Source organism: Homo sapiens, chromosome 5 (assembly GCF_000001405.40).
Source record: "Homo sapiens chromosome 5, GRCh38.p14 Primary Assembly".
Lineage (NCBI taxonomy): Eukaryota > Metazoa > Chordata > Mammalia > Primates > Hominidae > Homo > Homo sapiens.
In genome coordinates this window covers 36,664,801-36,691,940 of record NC_000005.10, presented here as the reverse complement: position 1 = coordinate 36,691,940, position 27,140 = coordinate 36,664,801, and the positions used below count along the sequence as shown (strand labels likewise).

General features: G+C 41.2%; 1 protein-coding gene and 1 long non-coding RNA gene across 14 annotated transcripts in view, besides 2 other annotated features; one reads left to right on the top strand and one right to left on the bottom strand.

The window, feature by feature from the left end:
• Positions 1-26,046, top strand: part of SLC1A3-AS1 (SLC1A3 antisense RNA 1) — a 59,294-nt gene extending 33,248 nt beyond the window's left edge. Inside the window, exon 2 of the long non-coding RNA XR_007058736.1 lies at positions 23,230-26,046. This is a non-coding gene — a long non-coding RNA (SLC1A3 antisense RNA 1). The remainder of the gene's footprint in view (positions 1-23,229) is intronic.
• Positions 1,647-1,846: a silencer, noted in NCBI's record as "silent region_15973". NCBI's record gives its function as "represses an Ori minimal core promoter by ATAC-STARR-seq in GM12878 lymphoblastoid cells {active_cell/tissue: GM12878}" and the evidence as "EXISTENCE:reporter gene assay evidence [ECO:0000049][PMID:35858748]".
• Positions 2,302-2,531: an enhancer, noted in NCBI's record as "active region_22480". NCBI's record gives its function as "activates an Ori minimal core promoter by ATAC-STARR-seq in GM12878 lymphoblastoid cells {active_cell/tissue: GM12878}" and the evidence as "EXISTENCE:reporter gene assay evidence [ECO:0000049][PMID:35858748]".
• SLC1A3 (solute carrier family 1 member 3) overlaps positions 3,607-27,140 on the bottom strand; it is a 91,747-nt gene continuing 68,213 nt past the window's right edge. For 9 of the 13 annotated variants that reach the window (NM_001438455.1, NM_001438456.1, NM_001438454.1 and 6 more), the window contains 7 exons: positions 20,708-20,912; positions 17,850-17,892; positions 14,757-15,049; positions 12,081-12,314; positions 11,352-11,546; positions 7,943-8,077; positions 3,607-5,876 (listed from right to left, as the gene is read on the bottom strand). In NM_001438455.1, the coding sequence (NP_001425384.1) occupies positions 5,672-5,876; positions 7,943-8,077; positions 11,352-11,546; positions 12,081-12,314; positions 14,757-15,049; positions 17,850-17,892; positions 20,708-20,912 (1,310 nt within the window). In that variant the 3' untranslated portion in view covers positions 3,607-5,671. Of the gene's footprint in view, positions 5,877-7,942; positions 8,078-11,351; positions 11,547-12,080; positions 12,315-12,450; positions 12,592-14,756; positions 15,050-17,849; positions 17,893-20,707; positions 20,913-27,140 lie in introns of all 13 variants that reach the window. The other 4 variants (NM_001438459.1, NM_001166695.3, NM_001438458.1 and 1 more) reach the window with 3 other exon arrangements.

Sequence of the window (27,140 nt, the reverse complement as noted above, 5' to 3'; positions counted from 1 at the left end):
GGACACTCACTACCATCTTTACATGATTTTGCATATGTCATTATTGGAAAGAGTTTATGATTTGATTTTGTTCCCCTTGTGCGGTGTCAGTTGGGTCCTGTTTTTTCATATCCTTCAGACTTGGCTTAAAAAGGGGTTTTTTTTGGGAATGATTCCCATTCATGGAGGCTGGAGTTCCCTGAAGAGACTGAAAAATGCCTCATTCTCAACTTTACAGAGACTGGAAAATAATCAACTTTGAATAGCACAATATGAAAAAAAATGGGTGCTTTTCTAATAGGTGCTCCCCAAATGAAAAAAATGTGTCCGTCTTTGGAGAACAATATGTGAATGCCAAAATTTTCAGCCCTGTAATGGATTACAGAAAATATTTTATGTTGGGGCAGTGGGGAGGGTAGAAGTAAGGAGTGAGAGAAGGAAAGAAGAAAATAGGAGAGGGAAGAAAACAAAAGCAGATGTCAGTCTTAAATATCTCAACTATGGATAACTGAGGTATTGCTTAATTTATTCAAGACAGTTTTGTGAAATCCTAAAGGTGATTCATCAAGCTTTTTAACTATGGCCACAAGATTTACAAGCACATAATAAGTGATAATGTCACCAGAACAATTAATAGTAGGAGATGTTAGATCTAAATTGCTTTTTAAAGCATGTTTTTGCTTTCAGAGAAAAATTCAAAATGGGGGTGATTATTTTATAATGAAGATCCCCCCACTCCAAGCAACCTCTTTCACCTATAATATCAGCTTCATTGAAGCAAATACAAATTGTTCTGAGTTCCACATTTCAAGTGTCTAGAGGGTTGCCAGATTAACACATAAAATTACAGGATGCCCCATGCAGTATTTTGCATACTTACACCACCACATTGTTATTTAATACTCATACTAAAACATTGTTATTTACCCGAAATTCAAATTTAACTGTGTGTCTTGTATTTTATCTGACAACCCTACTTATATGTGGAATTCAGCATGCTGTGAATGTTTCAAAATTGAAGGTTGAGACAGCAGTTTTGTGGGCACGATGAGACATGACCTGCAGGAAACCGTTACCATGCCACCTTCTGAGTACCTGTCTGTAGCTGCAAAACATGTAAGTGACAGAAGAGGGAGATGAGAATCCGGAAGAGGAGATGGGAGAGAAGGGAGATGAGGCACAAGGGAGACAAAACAGGATACCCAGAAAGGAAGGGGGTCCTCTGGGGAGGCTATTGAAGAAGCAGGGTGAACAGAGGGAAAAGTGACATGGGGGCACTGAGGAATTTTAAACCTGACTTGATGGCTTTCACAGATTGCTCCCTCTCGGCACTGCAGACTTGGAATTCGATGTTACCCAAGTGAGATCTCTAAGAGGAAGTGCCCCAGCTCCCTTTAGAGCTCCCCGCGGAAGCGGCCCAAGGTGAGCTCCGCATTCCCCCTGGTGGCCACTATGAGGCTCGCTCCCCGGACGCCGCCTCGCGGATCTCGTAGATTTCTCATCTCCCGCTTTCCCTCTAGGACGCTGCCCATCACCTCCCTCGCTCTCCCTTCCTTCTTATTGTCAGCGTATTCATTCGGAGCCCTCCCTCGGCGTGACACGTCCCGACTGCTTTGGCCCCAGGACGCGGCCACACAGAGCCGGCCATTGTTGCTCCAGTTCTGGGACCACCCGGGTGGGAGAAGGGGAAGCGCGGCCGCTGCGGAGGCCGCTCGACTGACGGCAGCCTGGGGTCGGGGCCCGCGGCCACCCGGAAGGAGGGCGTGCGCCCGGCCCTGCCCAGCCCGCAGGCAGCCACAGCCCCGCAGCCCCTGCGGCGGGGATCCAGCCTTCCCGCCACGCTTCCTCCAGGCCCGTTCAGCTAACAGAACTCACACTTCTGTTTTCAACACTGTGTAGATGAGTCAAGGATTTTACTTTTTTTTCTATGCCTTTACTTATAGGTATAGTGAGGTAAAGTGAGATTTTTTCTCTTGAAAAGGAGAATTTTGCTTGGGTGGGAAGGGACAGTGGTGGTACCAGGATGAATGTGGATACAGGAGGACATAGACTCCTAACTTCTGAGGGTAGGATTTAAATATTTTGTTAAATGTAATAACTTATAAGAAACATTTTAAAAAATGTCAGCCAGAGGCTGGGTGCAGCGGCTCACTCCTGTAATCCCAGCACTTTGGGAGGCTGAGGCAGAAGGATGGCTTGAGGCCAGGAGTTTGAGACCAGCCTGAGCAACATAGCGAGATCCTGTCTCTACAAAAAATAAAAATAAAAATTAGCCTGGGCGTGGTGGTGTGAGCCTATGGTCCTAGATACTCGGGAGGCTGAGGATCGCTTGAGCCCAGGAGTTCGAGGCTGCAGTGAGCCATAATCACAGAGTGAGACCCTGTATCTTAAAAAAAAAAAAAAAAGCTGTGAACCTGCATATTTTTCATAGTTCCATTTGTGAGCACATGTGTGACTACCACATGTTGGGATCTAAGGCCTGCTTCTCCACCCTCTTTGTCATACTCTGGCTGAGAGGCACTTCCCTTAACCATAAGGGGCTTTCCACAGACCTCCCACAGGCAGATGACCTGCTTCTTATGTCTGCATTGTGGAGGTGGCCAAAACCCAGCGTGGGCTGCAGAAGGGAAGAAAATGGTCCCGGCAGAAGGGAGCACTTCCTAGCAGTGGATTGATTTTATGCGGCACTTCCCAGAACGTTTCACAGGGGGCAAATATTGATCTGCTCAGGGTGGCCAGGCTTGGTTCCCTCAGTTTGTGAGCAGCCTTTCTTTTCCCAAACTGGTCATGTAAATACCACATATGCCTTCACAAAAGTTAGGGTGTATGGTTCAAACATAGCGATTTGTAAATTTTTTTTTTTTTTTAGTCGTAAGATCTGTTAGAGAAACCGATTGAAATTAAGAATTTTACCCCCAGAAAAAGGCAAATGCACAAAACTTTCCCCACAACTTCAAGGGCGATGAACCTATTGAACTCTCATGTGGATGACCTAGGGGTCCATGGATCCAACTTAAGAGCCTTTCCTCTAGGTGGCTGCCACCTGCTGGTAGAGAGGGTCAGATTATAGGCTCCAGACACTACTTCAATCTGGAGATTTCATGATATTGCCTGCGAATTCTTTACTAAAAAGCATGATGAAAAGTAGTCATCCGTAAGCTGTTCTTAATGAATAGAGCACCAGCACAATGGCTGTTTCTGGAAATCCCTTGAGATCTTAGTTAGCTCTTTTCACAAATGGTGGTAATAATCACAGAGATAAATCTACCTAATTTGGAGGTCAGACAGGAAGTTACTTTTTCGGAAGGGCCCATGGTGGTATCACACTTTTCTAATCCCGACATGGAAATGATTCAATTCATCTGAGAAATTTGAATCTGACATGGACAAGGAAGTATGGCCTGCTACAGCAAAGTGCTCCGCTCACCTCCTCCTGTTTCCAGCTCCAGTTCTTGGAGTTGAGCAGGAGAGCATGTCCTTACTTATTTTCTTGTGGCTGGCTCTGCCAAGATTTTACCTTGCTGCATGGGATCCTTCCAGAGACTGCCCTGAGCTTATTGTAATATTTCCATGAATGGAAAATGTATTTTTCTTTGAGGAGAAGAATAACAACAACGTGCAAAGATGTTAATGTAAAACTATTTTTTTCTTTATTGAAAATACATCTACAAAGTAATGCTTCCCAGTCCACACTGAGTGCATGTGTATGCAGAGCCTGTGATGGCTTGGCGAGAGGATGGGCTCCCCACAGGACCTTTCCATAAGAAATGGTTAGTATATTAAAAAACACATATTGTGTAACAGAATTAAGTTGATATGATTAAGTCTTTGCTCTACTAGTGTCTTAAGAGGACAGCCACGTACTTTAACATTTGTAGTGTATTTCCGAAATAGAGCCTCGACATTAAATGGTTACTGCACCACAGCCTAATGTTAACTTTTATGCACAGAATGCTTGGGGTCTATATAAAAATATCTCTAATTGTATATCAGAGGATCTATGTCTAGATTTTTCAGTTTGTTAGCATAATTAAGTCCATTCTTCACCATTTTCAGCCAGAAACTCAAACACAGCTGCTACTGCCTGACAGCTCCCACTCAGCGTCTTTGACTGGATATTCCTTAGGGGGTAAAAATTAATCTCTAAACCTGGGAGCTGCCTTGCCTGAAACTAATGCCCCTGCTGTTTTTTTCTCATAACCTCATTGACAGTGTCTTCATACTGATTCATCTTCTACCATTTCTCTTATGGACACAAACAAAACAAAAGCAAACCCCACTCCAGCTGAAAGTTTTGAATGATTTGATAAGTGGGATTCCAAAACAAATAAATATTTTGTTTCCCTCATTCTAAGGACTTTTGATTAAAGAAAAACACTTTCAAATAAGAAATACCCACTCAACTCATGGACTTCTATTAGAGAGCTCATTCATTTGACTTCTTTCAAATATATAAGTCGTCTTATGTTTTGGTAAGCAGACTTCACGGGGGGAATGATTTTGGACTCGAGAAAAAGTGTTTCAGGTGAAAAAAAAAGCCAGAAAAATGAACCTCTTCTTTTTTATTCTTCCTTAAAGAAGACCTGTACTCTTGGTGTTTTCAAATCCTTTGTTTGTAATGTTGCCTGTGCTCAACTCTTTCCTAGCTCTTTAGTGTTCCACAGTGTGACCACAAGCACCCTTGCTAGCTGCTAGTCTTCTCATCTGTTTTCGAAGTCTATCATCAGTTGAGGAGTGGCAGGAGACATTCTTCCCAGAGTAGGAAAGAAGGGAATACTTCCCCCATTGGGATGAACTGGGCAAAGAGTTTGATGAATAATCCCACTCCTGGAATGGCCTCCTGCCTGGCGACTTGCATAACCTGCACTTTGCTCACAGGACCTGGTGACCACCACACACAGCCATCCTGTCCTTAGTTAGAAATGTTCACTCCCATTGAAGTGTCTTTTCTGAAGGCCTCGTGCTCCATGGATGGTACAGGGTGTTCTGAGGGGAAACAGAGGGCAGGTGCTTTCATGACATCACAGGATGTCTGGGCTGGAAGAGACCATGAAGACTTCTAGGGAAGTCCCTCATTTTATAGATGAGGACACTGAGGCCTAGAGGTGAGATGGGACTTGCTCAAGGCCACATGGAAACTTTGCCTTCTGTCTGTCCTCACAGCTGTGCTAGATGTATATGTGCACCTAGCTACTAATGAAATAGGTATACCAGTCAGAAGAGAAAGGGATAAAATCTTACTGTCCAACTGATAACCGGTTGTAATTCAAGTTGTTAACATTTTGAAACTAAAACTGAATTGTATTCTGAAAGATTTTTAAATTTCAAAAGTTGATTTTAAAATGTTTTTAGCCTACTATTTGTCTCTTTAACTTATATAAAAAAATCACATTTATAGGATTGTGTGCCACATAAACTTGTAAGATCTGATCAACACTATTTGTGATCTTGGTACCTTATTCGGTAAGACTAACATGAAATGATTTAAAAATTTCAATTGTGGGATGAAAATTGTACACTTTGGCCACCCAAAATCCTCCCTTGTGTTTTGGAGGACTATTTTCCAGTCTTATCAGAAGGGAGGAAAGGGAAGATGACGGGCTTGCTGGAGCGAATGAGCTGTAATGAGATGGAAAGATTTTATAATGGTTTTTAACACCTGGTGCTCAAGAAAGTGTTTCTTTATGTTAGTCTACATCTTGGTTTCACTGTCGATGGGTTTCTCAGTTTCATTGTCCTGTGCAATCAGTTGATATGGTTTCTTCATTTCATTCTCTTCAATCACTGAGTTACCCATTTCAACATCTCTGTTCTTCAGTTCATGTCGTGACAAGTGCTCCACAATCCCAGCTCCCAGGGAGTCTCCCAGTACGTTGGTGGTGGTCCGGAGGCGATCCCTGCAGGCAGGGTGGGGAGGAGGGAAAAACGAGGCTCCCGTGAGCATCACAAGTTTTCAACTTACGTTAGGAACTGGCCAGCGAAGCACCTCTTAACATTCAGTTCGCCGTATCTACCAACTGCAAGATTACGTAATAGACACATAATATTCATAATAGTAGCTATTAAAGGTTATAAGGCCATATAGATGATGAATGTTCAGTTATTAGTTTGACTGAAGTGAGAGTCCCAACAGTGGGGAACGAGCCTTCTCTTTAAGCCATTCTCATAATAATACTAAGATGTCATTTGTCCCTCTCAGTCTCATTTTCTCATGAATGTATAGTGGAGTTTTGCAAAGACTACATGATGTGTGATGTCACAACTCACTGAAGCAGTTGTGAAACTGCAGAAACAGGAAACTCCAACTGTCTTGTATTAAGCCAGACATTAAGAAAACTTGCAAAACATAAAATAGTACCATTCTTTTCACTAAATATTGGGGTCGAGGCCGGGCACCGTGGCTCACACCTGTAATCTCAGCACTTTGGGAGGCCAAGGCAGGTGGTTCACCTGAGGTCAGGAGTTCGAGACCAGCCTGGCCAACATGGTGAAACCCGTCTCTACTAAAAATACAAAAATTAGCCAGGCGTGGTGGCGGGCGCCTCTAATCCCAGCTACTCAGGAGGCTGAGGCAGGAGAATCACTTGAACCCAGGAGGCGGAGGTTGCAGTGAGCCAAGACTGTGCCATTGCACTCTAGCCTGGGCAACAGGAATGGAACTCCATCTCAAAACAAGTAAATAAATAAAATAAATTTTGGGGTCGAAATGGTTGTTTTTTGCAAAAAAATGCTATTTATGTTAGCATATATAACCTTTTTGTTTAAAGATGATAATAAATTCATTCCATTATTTTATTTTATGAATTATTATCACCTTTAAATAAAACATGTAATAAATTAACAAGTGGAAATTTATAAGTGTGTCTAATATGATAAATATGAATAGATACAACCCATATAGATCAAATGCTGTTTCAGTTCTCAATAATTTTGAAGTGTAAAGATCAAAGACTGTGGAGAACTGTAGCTTTATATGAGAGTGCTCATGTTAACTGATGCTGACTGTGGGCCAGACAGTAGGCTGCATGCTTTCTAGGCATCATTGCACTGAATCTTGCAGTACCCCTAGGAGGTAGAGGACACGGGCACCCTCATTTTACAGAGGTAGAAACTAGGGTGGTTGGGTAATCTGCCCGGTCTCACACAAGGTCAGGACACAAACACAGGTCCAAGTAACTGGGGAGTGAATCCTCTCGCCCAGTCTGGGGTTTCACGCACACTGTCAAGCTCTTTTCATGTTGCAGTTCTAGTGAACATATGTTGTGTTAACTCCAACACGTACTCTGTTCTAGGCTTTGCTTTGGGCATCCTGGGGAAAGATTTTCAAAAGTGGAAGGAAATTTTTAAGAGAAAAGGCACAGAGAATGCCAGCTGGAAGAGCGAGGGAAGGGGGCGAAGGGATGGGCCTGTAGAGGTTAGAGTTTGAGAATGTGGAGGGCACATTTCTTGTAACTTTCCCTAGATCCGAAACTCAATTCCACTTAATGACACTAGCTCTCTTCCCAGTGTCGGCATAGCTCAGCCTCACCCTATTGGGCTAGGATGGGAAAATCATTCCCACTGGAATGGGAAGCACACAGAGGCAGGGCCTAAGCTGGCATGTGGGGCCTGCAGCTTTGTTCCAGCTGCTGTGGTGTCATGTTGTGCAACTCAGAAACAGCCTTGCTGATTTATGTTGCCTTTGCAGACAGCGGGTTTCCCAATTCCTGAATGGCTTTATGGAGTGAGATGTGTGGCAGCCAGATGTGCCCCTTAGGCTGACAGGGGAGTGAGTGCACATGGCATCTGGGGCTCGGTCTCCAGATAAGGACCAGGGGTCAGACAATAAGGACAATTTAACTATGGGCCGAGAGGCCCCTCTCCTCAGAGTTCTTTCTGTAGATGTGCCAGGCTGCCTGGTGCCCTAGAGTGACAGAGGGGGACCCTGTGACAGTGAGCTGGAATGCAGGCCAAGCATACTCACAGGAACCAGTCCACCGCGATGATGAGCGTGATGTCGTCAGTGGGCAGGCCGACAGATGTCAGCACAATGACCATAGTGACCAGGCCCGCCTGAGGAATTCCAGCTGCCCCAATACTGGCAGCTGTGGCTGTGATGCTGTTAACAGAAGTACCAGAACAGAAAACACTTTTACAAAGCTCCCCACGTAGAGCATATACGCTGCAAAATACGCACGGTGCCGATGCCTGACTTGCCATGTAACACAAGAGGACGCGCTTCAGAAAAAACGTAAATGAGATTTTTTTTTTTTTTGAAACAGTATCTCACTCTGTTGCCCAGGCTGGAGTGCAGTGGTGCAAACTAGGCTCACTGAAACCTCTTCCTCCTGGGTTCAAGTGATTCTCGTGCCTCAGTCCCCTGAGTAGCTGGGAATACAGCTTCATGCCCCCACACTCGACTAATATTCGTGTTTTTAGTAGAGCAGGATTTCACCATGTTAGCCAGGTTAGTCTCGAACTCTTGACCTCAAGTGATCCACCCACCTTGGCCTCCCAAAGTGCTGGGATTACCGGCATGAGCCATCATGCCTGGCCCGTAAATGAGATTAAAAAAAAAAAAATTGAACTAATCATCATGCTAACTAATATTTATCATGTGCTTACTATGTGTCTTCTGATATACTAAGCATGGTTTATCTAATTTGGTCCTCGTACAATGACCCTTGTGAAGTTGGACCTATTATTCTAGTCGTTTTTAAATAAACTGGCAGCTATACACTTTTAAACATCCCTGAAAGTATTTTGTAAGGCAAAGTCTAAAATGCTGTAGAGTTACAATAATAATTTGTTTCTAGTAATTCCCCTATCCAAGTGGAGGGTTGTAAAGTTACTGAACATTCATGATTAATGTTGTCAAAAGAATCAAATTTGGTTTCTTAGTTTGGTTTGCTTAGTTAATTCAAAAGCAAAATGATTTATGAACAAAGTTTTATAGTATTAGAAATACTTTTTATGAAGGCAGTGTAGACCTGGCTTGCAAAGCAAATGTTTTATAAATAGTAAAGTATTATCTGGTTATAAGTGGTATTAATAAAGTATTAAGTCTGTCACAGAAAGTATTCATGGTCCCCATACTGGTCCCCTTCTAAGATACTGGGACTTTTAGCTGGTATATGGCTCCCCAGAATGAAGACTACACTTCCCAACCTCCCTTGAAGCTTAGATTAAGTTCTGGCCAGTCAGACATGCATGGAGGTACTGAGCAACTTGCAGGGTATACCATCTCCCCACTTCCGACTGACTAAAATCTGGGGGTGGTGAGTCATCCCGGACCACCTGGATAATGATAATACCCTAGAGACTTAGTCTCTTATACCACAGAGCACCTATCAATCAGCCTTGAAGGCTTTGTGGAGCAGAGCTGTGCTGCATGAAAGAGAAATATATTTCTATCTTGCTTGTCACTGTTACTGTTATTTTTAACTCTGTCACCTTTTTTTTTTAATAACCCAGAGCCTTTCAATCAATATGCCAAAGTATAGGTTACAGGTGAGCTGAGATAATGATCTCCTAAGTCCCATTATAACTACTTTGGGCCTGAGGTTCCCAGAACCCCCAGGTCAGTCATTGACCTCTGGCCCTGATCAGCCTTTTCCTTTTTACTCCGATGCATCCTACTACAACTATTATCATTTTCTACTAACACAAAACATATACACAGAGTCTAACAACTTATTTCTAAATAAACATAACAACAAATGTGTGGTGACTGATTAGATGAAAAGAAACTAAGACACCAAATGTAGGCCATAAATGTGGATTTGAACTTGGTCTGGAAGTAAAATCTGTAAAAGACATGTTTTGGGGGACAACTGTGGAAATTTGAATATAGATTGGATATTCTGGAAGTATGTTTAAGATTCTTACTATTGTGGTTATGTAGAAAAATATCCTTATTCTTAGGAGATGCATGCTGAATTTTGTACAGGTGAAATGTCATAATGGCAGAGAAAGAGAAAGAAGAAGCAAAAATGGCAAAACGTTTGCAATTTTTCCATCTGGTAGAGGATGGTTGGTATAATATTGTTTCAACTTCCCTATATGTAGGGCATTTCACAACAAAATGTTGAGTGATAAAAATCCCCCCAAATCTGACTTAGTTTGCTCTCCAAAATGTACTTTTAATAACAATTTAAAAAAAACCCCACAACAATGAAGAGCAGAGGCTGATCTGGATAGTGAGGCTTAAAGTGTCCCATTGCCATTAGACTCATGGGTCCCTTGTGCAAAATAACTTTTAATAAGCAAAAAGGAGGGATTATATTTGCACATGCACATGCGTATGCCTGGCGTATCTCTGGAAGGATGCAGAAGAAACTTGCAGGTAACACTGGTTGCCTCTGCAGAAGGAAACTAAGAGATGGGGGGAAGGTATGGAAAGGAAAATAACTTTTCACTGAACACCTCAAATATAATAGTTAAAAAAAATTCTCCACAAAAATCAGATTCTTGAACTACTTGTCAGTGTGGTCTGTCATCTATCTTACACTGTCTAAAAATTCACCCAAGAGAAAAAGTTCATCTAACTTTTTATTTTCTAGTAGTATCTATACAAGCTAACATATTTTAATGCTTTTAAAAATTGAAGTATAATCTAACACTTTTAAAAAGGAGAAATATCCATACTATGTATTTTACAGACATTAAAAAGAATGATGAAGTAGACATATTTATTGGTCTATTAATAAGCAAACCAATCAAAGGCAAACATGTATGTATAGTATGATTTCACTAACTACAAAAAAGAAGTGTGTGCATGTCTATGCATAGGAAAAGTCTTTCCAAACCAAACATGAACAATGGTCACTTACAGAAGGATGTGGAGCGATGTGATGGCAGGCAAGTTTCCCTTTTTACTTTATACATATTTATATTTTTTGAACCTTGTTATTAATGAGTGTATACATCTATAATCTAAAAAAACCAATTAAAATACCTAAATATAGAATGATTACCCCAAATCCCCACCTCTTGATTATGTGGGATCCCCTTCCCAACCCTGGTCATCCTCTTGTCTTTTAAAGGCATTCTTTTTTTTTTTTTTTTGAGATGGAGTCTTGCTGTGTCCCCCAGGCTGGAGTGCAGTGGCATGATCTCAGCTCCCTGCAATCTCTGCCTCCGGGTTCAAGCAATTCTCCTGCTTCAGCCTCCCAAGTAGCTGGGACCACAGGCCCGTGCCACCAGGCCTGGCTAATTTTTGTATTTTTAGTGGAGACAGGGTTTCACTATGTTGCCAGGCTAGTCTTGAACTCCTGGCCTCAGGAGATCCACCCGCCTTGGCCTCCCAAAGTGTTAGGATTACAGGCGTGAGCCACCACGCCCAGCCTTAAAGGCATTCTTAAGAAAGGGTGTATAGAACTCTTTCCTTGTACCTGATTGTAATAATTTGTCCGAAGTTCAGTTCAAAGTTGTTAACTTGAGCAATGAAAATGGCAGCCAAAGCCTCATAGAGGGCAGTCCCATCCATGTTAATGGTGGCTCCTACGGGGAGCACGAATCTGGTGACGCGCTTGTCCACGCCATTGTTCTCTTCCAGGCACTTGAAGGTGATGGGTAGGGTGGCAGAACTGAGAACAGTGAAATAGGGCACATCAGCTGAGTGTCCTGGTAGTTCTGACTGTCTGTGCGTTTGGTCTTTGGGACAGACAGTTCCTTCCTCTCCCATGTTCTAACTTAAAGGGAACTAAGTCAGCAATTGTATAAATAGGGGAGCAGGTTAAGAACAGTGTGGTCCCCTCACGGGGTCATTTGGCAGCTCTCCTGCTTCTGGGTTCCTCTGTGAGGCATCACTTGTGATCATGCCCTCATCACGACAGCCTGTGCCAAGTCACTCTGCCTCTTCTCCCTCAGGCAAATGTCAACTAAAGAGAGATGAAGTGGACGGGAAAGGATAGTTGATTTCCAATTTGTCCCCACAAAAGATATGTAGCCAGGCATTTCCTGAATCCCAAACAGGTGTGATTGACATCAGAAATGAGAAAGCTAACTCATCATTCTTGGAAGTTTAAAACTCAGAATAAAATGGCTTCTCCTACACCCTACTTGAGGGGCCCTGGTTCAAGGTAACATTTCAGACTCATTTTCCACACATACATACATACCTTGAAGAGGTCCCCAGAGCGGTGATGAGTGCTTGCAGCAACCCTCCAATAAAAACCCAAGGGTTTTTCCGTGTTACCAAGAAGTAGAGGAGTGGCAAGACGATGACTGCGTGAATGAGTAAGCCAACAATGACAGTCACGGTGTACATGGCAAGCTGCCCCCCAATCACACCCATGTCTTCCATCTCCACAATCTTCCCAGCAATCAGGAAGAGAATACCCACGGGGGCATACCTGGGGAGAAGCAACACCAGCACGGTTGGAGTCTGGTTTCCACCAAGCTAGTCCACAGAAATTTCCAAGTGATAAGAAAAAGGGAAAAGAGAGTTGACTGCCAAACTTTCCTGCCCAGGATACCATTAGGACTTACAGAAACTGTGGACTTCTTTTCTTACAGAAACTGTGGACTTCTTTTTTTTCTTTTGTAAATATAAATTTCCCCTGATTCTTGCAGAATCGGGCTTTCCCCTCACTGAGAATTGCTCTAGGACACAATGTTTTTCTCTTAGACCTGGGGGAAAAGGCAGATACAGAGCTTTTGATACCCACCTCTGTCTTCCTAGCCAGCCCTCCTTTCACTACATGGGGGTCACTTTTCTGGTCCTCAGATGCCACTCACTCCCTCTGCCTCCTGCTCCCTTGCTAAGTGTCCTGAACAGCCGGAATCCACTGTACCAATATCCAGACTTTTGGAAGCATTTTCCACATCAGAGCCTGATTCCCAAGTTAAAGCAAGAGGCACACGATGCTACACCAGTGTCTCAGGTTTGCAGTCAGTTCTCTTATTCAAGGGCCACTTTTATTATTGCCTTTCCATATCTTCATACCACTTACAAGATTACTTAGTATTATTCTTCAGATCACCTTTTTTACTTAAGTAAATTTACTTTAAGAGAAAATTCTATGTTATAGTACAAATGGAAATCTAGTACCACTTGCCATAATTAGAAGATGTCCATAAAATAAATTCATTATTAAACTTAATAATGTGCATGTATGTACTACTGCAATCAGGTTATAGGTGTTCTAATGAAGTCATTATTCCCCACAGGCTGCTACTGCCATTTATGAGCTTTCCTTCTGCAGACAATAAACTGAGACTCAAAATGATTTCTACATGTTGAAATAACCTAGAGTTTGCTTAAAGGCCTCGCTGCCTGGATTTCCCTTCTGTTTGTTTCATATGTGCAGCAAACTACAACCAAACTCACATTACCAAACACAGAGAAGCCAATCACACTTAAGAAGAAGGGTCTCCTGGGAACTATGGAGGACTTGTTTCAAATCGAAAAATACAATGCTTCTTTCAAAAGTCCTTTAAGAACCCAGGCCAGGAAATCATAGGAATACCTGTTTTCAGAAATATAATAACTCAGCGTTGAATGTGCAGGCGAATGTACAGCTAGACAAGCTGCATGTGAGATTCATTCAGTGGCCTTGAATGGGCTTCTTTCATAAAAGAGGTGAAAGGTGGAGGCATTTAATAATATGAAGATAAATGTCCACTTTCATTCCTGCCAGGGTTTCAAAGGAGCCTTCCAAGTGGGGGCTCCTGTGGAGACCACATTCTGATCTGTCTTTGTGCCCAAGTTCATATCCATCTTGTACAAATTCCTGAAAAATGGATTTCTCTGGGCTTTGTTGGCATTAAAGACAAGGGCATTTTTAATCATGTTGGTGACTGAGTACTTTTCTTAGCAATGGATGCTTTCCTGCCTCAGGTACCACAGAGGAGACTGGATTAAAAATAAAGAATGAAAGAGAAGCAACCTCCACACAAAGCCTAGGTCAATCAAAGCGTTCTCTCCCCGTTGGGTAAAGTTTACTTTCCAAGGTCAATGTTCCTCTTGCATTTATAGTCTCTTCCTTTGTCTCCTGCTGTCAACTTTATTAAAGCAAATTTTGTTATAAATTGTGGCTTGGCATTTTGTAATACTTCCTGTGAATCTTTTAGATATTGCAGCAGAACTGCCATTTACATTTCTTTCTTAGGGCTGAAACAGATGAGGAGCCCTCAGTTTTCCTGATGGCCTAGGGGGCCTCTCCGTTTGCTTTTCCCTTTACTGGAAACACCCTTCTTCTGGCACTTTGGTATGACTGCTTCCTCTGTTCATTCAGGTCTTAACAAAGTACGTCACCTCCTCAGAGGCCTTTCTGCACCATCCAAGGCAAACTTTGTGCCTTCTCCTAGTTACCTGCAATTTTATTTTATTTTTCCACAGCACCTGTGACTAAAGCATATGGTTGATTGATTTGTTTGTTTATTGTCTGTCTCCCTTAAAAGAGTGTAAGATCTGGAATATCCTTGTATGTTTTCTTTATTGCTATATCCACAGTGCCTGGCACTATATGCTTAGCATATAGTAGACACTCAATAATTATGTCTTGAATGAAAAACTAGATAAAAAATGGAGAAATGAGGAATGAGATTCCATCAGCACTGGGGTAAAAGGAGGTGACAGCTTTTGAAAACAAGGAAGCAAACTTATTAGAAGAGGCTTGCAGATAGGTTCAAGGCCTCTAGAGGCCCAGAGATTCATTGATTTTCCTGGGCTTACCAGAGTGAGATAACTGCAATTGGCCATCCTGCCTCGTGGCACCTTCCTCAGTACAGAACACATGTTGATGGCAATAACCATCTCGTATATAACATATATAGAAAATGGAAATACATACCACATTATTACTGCTACCAGTCTCATGATGGCTTCGTTAAGAGAATCAAAGAACTCTCTCAGGGCCTGCCCCTGTTCCTTCATGTTTCCAATCACAAAACCGAAGCACATGGAGAAGACAACTAGACCCAGGGCATTGACTCCATTCACAGATCCTGGAACTGGGACCAGCTCCTCTGTGATTCGGGTAAGAGTCTCCATGGCCTCAGACACATTGTTTATCACAGCACCCACAAGCGTTTCGTTGGCCTGGATGGGCACTTTAAAGCTTCTCTTCTCATAGTTGGTTTTAAACTTAAAAATAAAAAGCACAACGAGGATTAAAGGTGATTTTTATTTTTTTCTTTATATTTTCCTATTGTCAAATTTTCTAAAATGATTACTGTTACTCTGTTACTTTGTATTCAGAGATGAGTGTTATAGAAAGTCTCTCTCTCTCTTTAATCTGTGGCAAACCCCTACTAGTTTCTCAACACAGACAGACAGAAACACATACTGAAATACATACAAATCATGACACACACACACACACACACATACACACACTCAAATACATAACAAATGATAACAGGAAAGAGATATCCAGCTAAAGATGCTGGACTAAACACATGCATGTGCTTTTGCTTTCTTCTGAAACCCTAATAAAATGACTATAATGGGATTTTTTTAAAACCATAAACCCAAATATTCACAATAGTCCTTTTCTTTTCTGTGGGGATCATGCTATGGTATAATAGATAAATCACCTGGTATCCTTTCTCTCATATTCTACAGCTGTGAAACAAGAACAGTTGTGCTGGTTCTACCTCACAGTGTTGTTGTGATAATCAAATTAAACAGAATATAGGAGAACATCTTGCAAATTTTAAAGTATTGTACTAATTTCTGCTAATGGTGCTCAATGAAAAAGCCCTTCAGGGATTAGACCTGTTTAGAGATTTCAGTGGGTATTACAAATTAAAAATCCCTAAACAAGCTGTTTCCAAGCCATTCTTGATGTTATTAGTTCTTAAGAATAGGTGCCTGATTAATAGTTGGTGATGACAGCTCATCTTCTCCAAGTCTATAGTGGGGTTTCTCTTCTAACTCAAGAGATGGTCTTTTTCCCATCATCTATTCAGTTTCTACATAGATGCCCCAGTCAGGAGATGCTGGCCACATGAAACAAGTAAACTCATCCCTCTGTGATTTTAATGAGAATAGAATTCCTGATCTTGATGGTGATTGTAGGGAAAGCACCAGTGAGAGTAATAATGGTGAGTGATGGTGAGTGAATCTAGAGTCTAGGGGAAGAAAGTGCTGCTGTATATGAAGTGCTTGGTCATTTCTTTACCAAGGGTTAATGGAAAAGTTTCTTATCCACTGGGAAACAACTACTCCCAAACAAAGCCATGGCCAGCTGTCAATACTATGGACACATTCATGAACAGTTAGTAGCACTGGTAATTTCAAGCAACAAAAAAATTGGCCCCATTCATCTATTCCAACCAACTCTCAAATTTCTTTATTCCGTTGGGTCCTTATGCATTTTATGGATTGTCCAGGGCAGATTTTCAATCCTGATCAGGCTTTCTTATGCCTCTAACTCATTCCCCTTAGACTCTGTTTGCAGCATGCACAGAAACTGCAACCTTGTTTGCATCCTGGTCTAAGCCAACTAGACCTGGGGAGAAACATTTTCTTTCCCTTCAAAATCCTGTGAATGCAAATCCAAATCAAACACAATCAATCTGTACAAGTCAGCACTTTTTCCATCTGAAGGATCTGGAAATCAGCATTTTTGATATCACACAGGGCCAGCTGACTTACTGGAATCGTCAGCCCCATGGTGCTAGAGTTGGCTGGTTGGATTGAAAGGCGCTTATTATTTATAGTTATAGTTGTTTTTGAACAAAGAAAGTTAGATTTTGGCCTCAGGCTTATTTTTTTTTTTAAAGAAAGAATTTGGTTTGAATGTTTCAATGTGTGCATGCATTACATATTAAAAATAGTCTTAAAAATTATTACAAGGGGAAAAAAAACAAAGGGAGACTTATATGTGTAAAATCCAGTCTTCTACTAGGTTGGGGTTTTGTTTGGTTTGTTTTACAGATCCTAAGCAGAAGCGTTAGGGAATTACAACAGGAGTGAATTGACACCATCTGGAGAAATGTTTGGGAAATATTATTTAACCAAGAGTGTCTGTTTCCCTTTTAATATTTTAGGCAACAAAGCTCTTATATTCAAGTGAGGTTAAAGTGAGCTTTTATCTTCTAATGGTAAAAGGTATTTGTATCTGCAACACAGAGCCAAGAGTTGCTTGTATATGAGCTAAAAGGAGCTGGACCTCAGTATAGCCTCCAGGTCGGTGTCTCATCGCCCTGAATATTCCTTTCATGGAAGCAGAATGGAGTAGCAGAAAGCAGATAGAATTTGGAGTCAACACAATGAATTTGAATTCCGAGTCTTCCCACTTACTACTTGTGAGAATTTGTGCACGATACATAATTGCTTTGAGTCTTATAGATGAGCTGCCCCATCAGTGAAATGAAGACAATGATATTTATAGTATTTATGTGAGGACTAAAAATAATGTTAGTGCTTGGCATATAGCAGGATTTCCATGAATGATGATGCCATTCCTTTCTGCTTTGGCTCTCCTTTAGAGTCCATTAGGTGCTTGGTAGACTTGAAAAAAAAAAACAGTCCATTGATATTTAAATCAAACCCAGAAATCTAAATAATCTCTCTAATCTTCTTTAAGGCAAGTTATAAATATATTTTATATTGGTGTTTGTTTGGTTGGTGGGCTTTTGCCAGTGGGGAGTTGGGTGATAGGAAGGGGGGGTCTTGTGATTAGCCTTCTTAACAATAGCAGACTCAATGAGATATTTGTATGCAAGACACACTGTGTCTGACAACTACTAAGCTTTCAATACAAGGTAAGAACCATCCTTTCCCCCCAAAATTCCTAGAAAACGCTAGTGTTTTTAATCTGGTTGACAAGAGAAGTGTTTCTTATAGCAGAGAAATGAGCAGGGAAAAGAGGGTCCCACTTGGTTTGGTATAGAAAAGAGGAATTTAAAAGGCAAGTTAATGTCTGTAGAGTGTTTACCTGTTTAAAGCAGGCTTCTACCAGATTTGGAGGGAACATGTTCCTGCAAAGAAAGTAATAGTCACTTGCAAAATTTTCCAAGTAATAAGTTTGCTCCTTAAATTCTGTTTCATTGTGTGTAAGGTAAAGATTGCATTGAACCAAGCAACAAATGGAAAAACAAAAATGTTAGTGGATTTTACAGCTTGAAAAGAATATATGGTCCTCCCTAAGTGTGGCCCATGTAGTTCATATTTTCAGGGGAGTCCAAACTTGACTCATTTATCCTCTTGTCAGCCAATGGGGTTCTTCACTCAGCCATTATATTATTAAAAACCCTGCTACTAGGAATAATCAAAGTAAGACTGGAAATGACTTTTATCATTAGCTTTCTGGCTAACTAAGGTATTGTTTAGCAGTGGTCATTTTGGTTATTGTGCCATGTGTCTAGGAACCAAATGTTCTGAATCAAAAGCCATGGTCAGCCTATGGAATTTTGTTCTCCAGAAAAGCCTCCCAAAGGCGTTCTGGGGAATGGGGTTTTGGCACTGAATTGCTAAAGCTTCTGCAACTCTTTGGTAGCCAATGGAGAGATGACCTGCAAAATTTGAACTTGAAGCCCATGTGGCAGGACTTGTTACTTCTTCAGAGACTTTGTCAAAGCACTGTTTGTGTTTGTAGGGGGTAGAGTGAGGGACAACACTCTGGCTGGGAAGTCTGTCATCAGCTGTGTGACACTGGCCAAGTCATGGCACCCATTTATGTCTCATTTGACTCATCTCTTAAAGAGGAGATTGGATTAAACTATCATTAGAGCTCCAAGATGAAAGACTATGGGAGAAGGAGAAATGATCCAGCAGTTATCACAGGCTCAAGAATCCAGCAGTTGCACGTTATCAAAGTTATATTTTAGTATTATAAATGCTTGTCCCTTTCTTCCTACTAGATCATCCTGTTTTCTTTTCCTTCCTATCTACACTCTATGAGGTTGTTGCTATCAACCTTGATAGAAATATGCATTCAGGAGATTCCAGGATAAATGTTCAAACCAAGTGATTGGTTGTAGGCAGGATACATTTTTCACTGCAGCAAGGCAGGGCAGAAACACAGTCTTCTGATGGATCAACCAGACTGGGGATGACAAGATTCCAATTCTTCAAACAAGGAATAAAAATTACAGGGAAAGAAAATGTAATATAATAAAATACTTCTAATCTAAACTATCTGAGGGTAAAGTTCATGCAGAAATGGTGAAAAGCCTTAATTAATTGTATGAACTAAATAAAAACATAGCTATTGAATGTCAACTTGGTATGAAATAATGTTATAGGGTGGCTTGATACCTGCAGATCATTGTGATTAACTCCCTGAAAAAGGACTTTCAAGAAGAGGCCCCTTGGGTAGTGTTTACATACATAGAGATGGTGCAAAGTCACCCATGGTGGGAATTGAGAGGTGCTGCTGAAGGTACCCTCTGCTCCCCAAATCTCTCTTGGCTTTACCTGCCACAGCCCCATTCCTTGAGATGGCATAGAGGAATTTCCTTCAGAAGATCAATGGGGAATGGGCCCTTTAGACAGGTATCTATAATTGGCAGCCCAATCACTCTGCAGGTAAGTTAGCTGAAAAGCTGGGAGGAAAGAGCTAGTCTTTGGGAAGACAGGCTGGGAGGGACTAAACAGTGGGGGAATGCTGAGCAGATGGGGCATCTAGAGCCTATGCTGAGATATCTTTCCTTTGTCATTCTAGATTCACTCTCCACTCTGTCTATGCCCTGGGATCCAGGCCTCTATGGACCACAACACATGGGTTCTCTTGCCCTCTGGCTTCCTACTCCTATTAGGTTTGTCTAGTGACATGCACTGACAGATCACAGGGCAGAGGGAGTCTATATTCTCCCAGAGCTCTCTTTGACAGATTTTGTGGCAGCTCCCTTCCTCCATTTAGGGCTCCTGAGGCCCTTCCCTCCCAAGGCTATAGCTCTTTCTGGGTTCCCTTTGCTCCTTCATAGCTAAGGGTGTTAACAAAATAGTTTCTTACTGTTAGGGCTTTGAGGCCTTACCATCGTTTGTAGGTTCCTTTAAGGCTGCCCGCACCTTGGCAAACCTTCTTCAAGGTTCCTTTAGAGTATGTGGTATGCTTCCTGCCAGGACCTGACTGAGCAAGGGCAGGTGTGTAGGGGAGAGGAAGCAGGAAGGTGCTGGGATTGGATTTTGGCTTACTTCACAGTTCTACATAAGGCTGACTCTATTACCAAGTCTGCTTCAAGTAGTAGATAAAACTCATTTGTAATCAACGTATGGTTTGTATGTAAAACAATGCTAAAGAAGCCATCCTTTATTCTTTTATTACAGACCTGCCAAATTCTTTCTCCATAAACATTATGAAAGGAAAACCTTGGGACAGGTTTGACAAGATGATCTCTAAAGTCCCTCTGGAACCAAACTGTGTATAATGCGTTGTGCATAGTGGGCAATGATACTGATCACAAGTTCAAAATCAGAAGGGTCCAAAGAATAGGGCATACTTGAATAAAAATTAGCCTTAAAGAACAGCAGTTAAGAAAAATAGGTTAAGAATTATTAAAATTCCAAGGTGAGCTGCATAGTTGAGAGAGGTCAGTGACCAGATTCTGAATCCGAAAAGCAAGGCTCTCAAAATCCATATCCTCTCCTTGCTCTTTTCGCCTCTCTCATACAAGATCAGAAAATGGATCCTTTCTTCAATTTCTATAAGAAAGAGGTAAAGATATATGACCTTCATTTCAAGCCTGGCAAGGCTGGTTCAGTCACACACCCCTTCCAGGGTTTGAATAGTAACCAGTAAGAGGGTCTGGATGGCGAAAATACACCCCAAAGGACGGGCTTGCAAGGACATACCTGATCAAGTCCAGGAAGGCATCTGCAGCTGTCACTCGTACAATTTTGCCTTCTCTGTGCATGTTTTCCTTTGTGCCCTTCCCAGGATGGATGATGATGACAATGATTATGCCAATCACCACAGCAATGATGGTGGTAGTCATATAATAGACTACAGCTCGCATTCCCATCTTCCCTGATGCCTTACTATCTAGCGCCGCCATTCCTGGTGGAGGCAAACAGAAGATTTTCAGGAAGTCAGTCCAGGGAATTCTCCAGTGGAAAACAATGGGAACAGCATTTCCTTTATACTCCCCTACCCTTATCCCACCCAGCCATGGGATTTCGTACATGTTGTGAGAACCTGGCCCCAAATCTCACAAGGTGAAGGGAAAAGGCCGAGGCTAGAATGGTGAGGCATCAGCAGTGTCAGTGAACATGCAGTCACTCATTTTCTGCCCCAAGAGTTGATTTCACATGGCCAAATCAATACTGTTCTCTAATGGTCCAAAAGTGCAATCAGATTGTTTCCTAGGTTACTGTTAGTTGGGGAAGCTATGAGTGTGAGTAGTGCGTGTGTGAGTGTGCCTGTGTGCATGTGTGTGTAAATAAATACTTAAAACATTTTTCTGGCAGGATAATCTAAGTTTACCTCAAGTTCAAGCACTCTGGTGATTCACACACAGATTAACTGCCATTAAATTCTTTCAAAAGAATTATTTTATATATGTATTTGGGATTCTTTTTTGATGTTTTAATGTACAATTTAAGCTATTATTCTGATCACCTGGTGATCTATCTTCAATTTGCATTTAAAGTAGACATTGGCTTATAAGGTTCTCAAATAGTTTCTCTGCTATTATTTCATCTCATCCAATCAAAGAATTTTTAAAAATTATCATGGCACAGTTCTCATTCTTGTACCCTGTCTTCCTCTACTTTGTCCCACAGGTCTGAGATGCCTCATCTCATGCTAAATATCCCTCTTTCCCTCATTTTCAGAACATCTTCAAAGTCTGCCTCAGGCAAGGTGTCATCCTAGAGAAAAAAGGAGGCATGACTTTTAAGGTTTTCCTAAAGGCTGTAGCTAATGGAACACAGTTCCATGCTTTTTGGGCTGAAAAACTATTGGAAAAGACAAAAAACTCTCAAAAGATTAAATTATCTATATTAATATGAGCTCTTCTGTTTTATTAGCTGTATCTTCACTTTTCTTCATTCTTTATCCTCCCCAATCCCACTAAAATCCAATTATAGTGTAATCCAATTACAGTTAATTGAGTTTTTTTTTTTTTTAACAATTTAAAATGGTGTTTCCACAAATGTATTAAAAGGTTATGCTGTATTTCAATGACGAGTATCAGATTCTAATGGTGGTTTAATATTCAGGTAGTGGCCCTGTTCACATGAACATATTTAGAGTTTGTGTGAACTCTAAATATTTGCATATTTAGAAGGTAAAGTACTGATTAAAATGGTGTCTACGATTGCCAGATAACTGGTTGGGTTTGCTCAAAAATCTTAATACAAAGGTAATTAGCTTAAGTGGAAATTGAAGCCATGACCTTCAATTTATAATTTCATTCGTATTTGAATCGTATCACTTATAATTTTCATTATAAGCCCTTAGTATTTCATATGTTCTTATTTTTAACAACCTATAATGCAGATTATAAAGCAGTTAAGTAACAGTTTAAAGGACTTAACACCAAGTGGAATGGAGTGGGAACTTGAACTCGGGTCTTATGTAACTAGGTTCAGTGTACTTTCTGCCTCTGAGAAAACCAACTGCAGCTCCCACAGATAAGGAGGCCAGCTTTGGCTTTGATGCCATGCACTTAGCCTCTTTTATCCTTGGCCACTTTCTCGAAACCCGGGGCTAAGTATTCATTTGTTAGGATGGCACCACTTCAACATTTCAACTATGTTAAAAATGGGCTAATCTGTTCCCAACCGAAGTATCCCATCCCCCCGCAGTTTCATTCTCAGGTCTGAATCACATCTCAAAATATCTTGGCTTGGCTGTGCTCAAAATGATTTCTCTCAGAAAGGGGCCCACTCTCTTTCCCATGAGTGCCTGAACTTGTCACCACCAAAGCCTGCAATTCTTCCGGCTCTCTCCCTGTGGAACCGGCGAGTAGTGTAAGCACAATACGCCGGATATCTCTGGGTACCAGGGAGTACCAGGCGGCAGTATTTTCTTCCTCCGAGATGCTTTTTTCCCTCTCGCCTTCTATTTTGTGGTGCTGTTCCGTTCTCACGCCAACTCTTCTCTGATGCTCCTGCCCACTATTCTCGACCTACAGCTATTCGGAGAGAGTGCTAAGTGGTCAAGGCAGAGCACTGGAAACCAAAGTGGCAAACAAAGGATGAGGTTTAATGTCCCTTCTCACACCATAGGGAGAGGGATAGGGAAAGTTATCCCAATACCCACGGCTACAGGGCTGTCGACTCTAGAAAATAAAGTTCATAGGTTTTTAAAAAATGTTTAAAGTAAAAACCAATATGAAAACATTTTCTTCATACTTTCTAATTCTAAATAGCTGAAGACAACCATCAAGGCATTTTTTCCCAAAAAGCACAGAAGGAGATTCAATCATCAAATGAGAGGCCTCACTCACCTCTGCATATTGGCCCTTATCCTTTGAAAGAGAATAAAGTAACAGCTGCTATTCTTTCAGCCAAGAAAGGTAAGGGAGGTATATTCATTAATCACATCTCCATGTAGGTCCTTCCCTTAAAGGAGGATCGAAGTCCCACACAGAGTTACTTGACCACCTCTGTTCCAGGTACCCTAGCTTGTAAAACAAATGAGACCACCAGGAACAAGGCAGTACACTGTCATCAGGGCAACAGCAGGACAGATGTGTGCAATCTGTTCACACACAATGGCCTTAATACTGGTGGCATCAGGAAAATGGAGGAAGAACTCTGGAAGACAAAACCCCAAATGAGCAGGGCATCACTTTCCCACCCTCACCTAAACTCTGTGACCATTTCCTTTCCCCAACCTCAAGAAATATGAGAGACGAACCTTTTTACACCAGAGACTAAACAGAGATGTCAGAGTGTCTGGAGCAAGGTTAAAGTACTAAATCACTTTGTAGAATGGGGCACTTTGGCAGGAACTGCCCTAAACGTTTGGGAAGGAGGAAGTTTACATTGAGCCTTATCACTTTAAAATATATGGGAGAAAAGGGCACTGGGGTGATGGGGAGACGGGAAGTTACTTTGGTATGTAGGTAATTGTGGGAGTGTGTTACGACAGCCATGCATTCATCTAAATACATATTTGAGAAACACATTCCAGAGCAAGTGGTAAAGATAATGATCTTGACTAGTTTCTTTTTCTTCATTTGATCTGGGCTTAGCTAAACTAGCCCAATTCAAGACATCATGACATCTTTATTATGAAAACAACCTGCCTTCAGAATCAAGACCCCCCTGAAATCCAAAGAAATACTGTATTGTACTATTGTTATAAGTACCATGATGGCTCTTTCACTTACAATGACACATTTGTGTGTGTGTTTTGTACATTTTGAGTTAACTTTTATGTGGTCCAAAGACTCACTCGCTAAGTCCTATCTTTGATTGATGGTAATGGTCATTTAATTCCATGACAATTGTATAATGCAGATATTGTTGATACTATATTATAGGTGAAGAAACAAGAGACCAGAGAAGTTAAATAACTTGCCCGGCATTGCACAGCTAATAAATGACAGTGGCAGGATTTGAACCCACATTTCCAAGAGAGTATTCTTACTGCTATACCTCTCTTTTTATGGACAAGCCAGGAGTCACCCATGTTTCATTTGCTTGTTATCCATGCTGACTTTCTCTAACTTTCTTGCATTTGAGTTAATTGCTAAGATGAGCCACTTGGCTTGAAGATAATTCTGTGGAGGAATATAATTGTGAAAAATCTCTGTCCCATTACTCAGTATTCCCTAAACCTACTTTAAGATCAAGCTGATTAACACTGGTCACCAGAAGGACTAGCTAGAGAGCTGATAATATCAGTGCAAATTCTTCACCATTCCTAGAAAAACAGCCCAGAGCATGTTTAATGGAGGGTGGAGAGCCGTGGATATTTGCTGGCTGCTGTGAGCACTTGAGTCTTATTTTCTTTTCTACAAGTCTACCCATAAATAACCACTTATCAAGCAAGCAATCATTTCTCCAAACCTATTTCTGTTCAACAATGAGTTAAGCATCAGAAGGAGACTGAATAAGATGCTTTCTAGAAAGTAAAAGATTAAAACTTTGCTTCAAACACCTGAGTATTTTAGGCAGTAATCACATGGAAGAGAGAGGAAAGGAAGGGAGTTTCTTGAGCAAATAGGTAATTATAAAGACAGTCTTTTGGCAATTGATTTGTCACAACAAATATGCACCAAATTCATGGGATTTTAGGGGGCAGAGAGGGAATGTTTTGGAAATGTGTATGTGGTACTCTGTAAGTCTATATGGTAAATTAGATCTCTTATGGTATAATAATTAATATGACTTCTTGGATAAATAAAATATACATTCAGTCAAGTATTAAAGGACAACATAAAATGTGCCAAGTTCCCAAGTTTCCATCATTGGCATGGATTTTATTCTCCTGTCTGCTGAAAATCTGTGACTTGGACATTAACATGTATCAGTGTACTCCCCTCAACAATTCCCATCTCTGGTTTTGAAACACAAAATCTAGAGAAGTAGTCTTCTGTTTTGAATTGTCTTCCCACTTATCCCCATGATGTTTCATTGTTCTTCCAGGGCCACTGGAACAGGTCCAGAAGGAAAGAAAAGAGTGATGGCAACTGCTGATTCAAGAAGATTGTTCTGTTTCAGTTTTTATTTTATTTTAGATGTACCCCTTCTCCACAATGAGTTTCTCATACACGCATCTAATGAAAGACGCCTGTTCTCAACCCTCCTAGAATTTCAAGATGGGCAAACTTACAAGGAAAGCAAGGATGAGTGCTAATATGTACCATATTCATGTGAATATAAGTTTTTTTAATAAGAAAATCAAACTCTAAAAATACAATATACTTCATAATTACAGATTGAAAAATGGGGCCGTGTGTCCTAGGCAGCTGCCCACTGCTGAGTCCAGGGTACACTGCCATCCTAGGAAGAGAGTGAGGAGGAGGGTGAAAAAACTCACCCAGGAAAGGCAGTGAGGGGTGGGGAGGGAGCACAAAGAAAGTCACTTCAAATCTCTCTCTAGAACTATATTGTTTTTCTGTGCAAAAATATTTTCTTCTGGCCCCTTTATAGACTAGCTTGTAAAAACACTGCAAAGTGCTATGATTCTAAGGGTTCTGGAACCGAAGACAAATCATTAAAAGTTAGATTCCAAATTGTTGGTAAAGAATGATTATGTCACAATTTTGCATCACAGTTAGTAAGCCAGTGATAGCCTCGGAATGTAATCTAAGAGACAGTGGCACAGTGGTTAAGAGTTCAGACTCTGACGTTAGAATACCTGGATTCTACTTTTGGCTCTGGTACCATGTGGCTTCTCCAAGCCTCAGTTTCCTCCTCTGTGGAATGTGAAAAATAGAAGCTCCCTCATAGGGTTTTCACTGGCATTAAAGGGGCTTCCATATAGAAAGCACTTAAAGTAGTGTTCAGCACGTGGTAAGCATTCAACAAATGTTAGGTGTTATTATTACTTATTAAACAGGTACATAATAAACAAGCTGTTCACAAAGCATTATTTCACCTCTAAGCCTTACTTCTGATGTAGAAAATACACTAACAATATCTACATTGCAAGATTAGAGAAAACATATTTACAGGGTACAAAGTAGGTCCTTGATAAAGGACAGTTTTGTTCATTCTGTGTCTCCTGCTACCAGAATTTTAGTGCCAAGAGAGCGGGACCATCTGTTTTATTCATTGCAGTGGCCTCAGTGCCTAGCATAGTGTCTGCACATAGAGGGGCTCAATAATCATTTTTTTGAATAACCAGCCATTCTTATTAGTGTTTTTGTTGCTATGCTGGATAGAGGCCACATGCTTTTTTTTTTTTTCTAACACTTAGATTGGGTTACTATATGAATTACAAATTCTAAAGTTGCTTTTGTTTAAAACACTCTTTAATTCTGACTCACTAATTTTGGTTGATCTTCCCCCAATTAATCCAAAATAATGAGGTTCATTCTGTCTGGAACAACAAGAGACAAACCTTGTGGGGAAAGAGTGTCAATGCAAACCCAGCGGCACCCGGAGTTTCATTTCCAGAGCTGGGAATGAGTTCCCGGCAAGGTGGCCCTAAGCTGCTCAGGAAGGCCAGGAGGCTGGAAAACTTCCACTTATTACTCACCACCATGGAATGGGCACCCTATTGCTTTCCCTTCCTTTGCCTTCTCTCTGGCACACCTGTATTATTTTCCCTGTTTTGCTAACATATTTCCCTCTTGCAGATGAGCCTATAGAAGTAACTGCTATA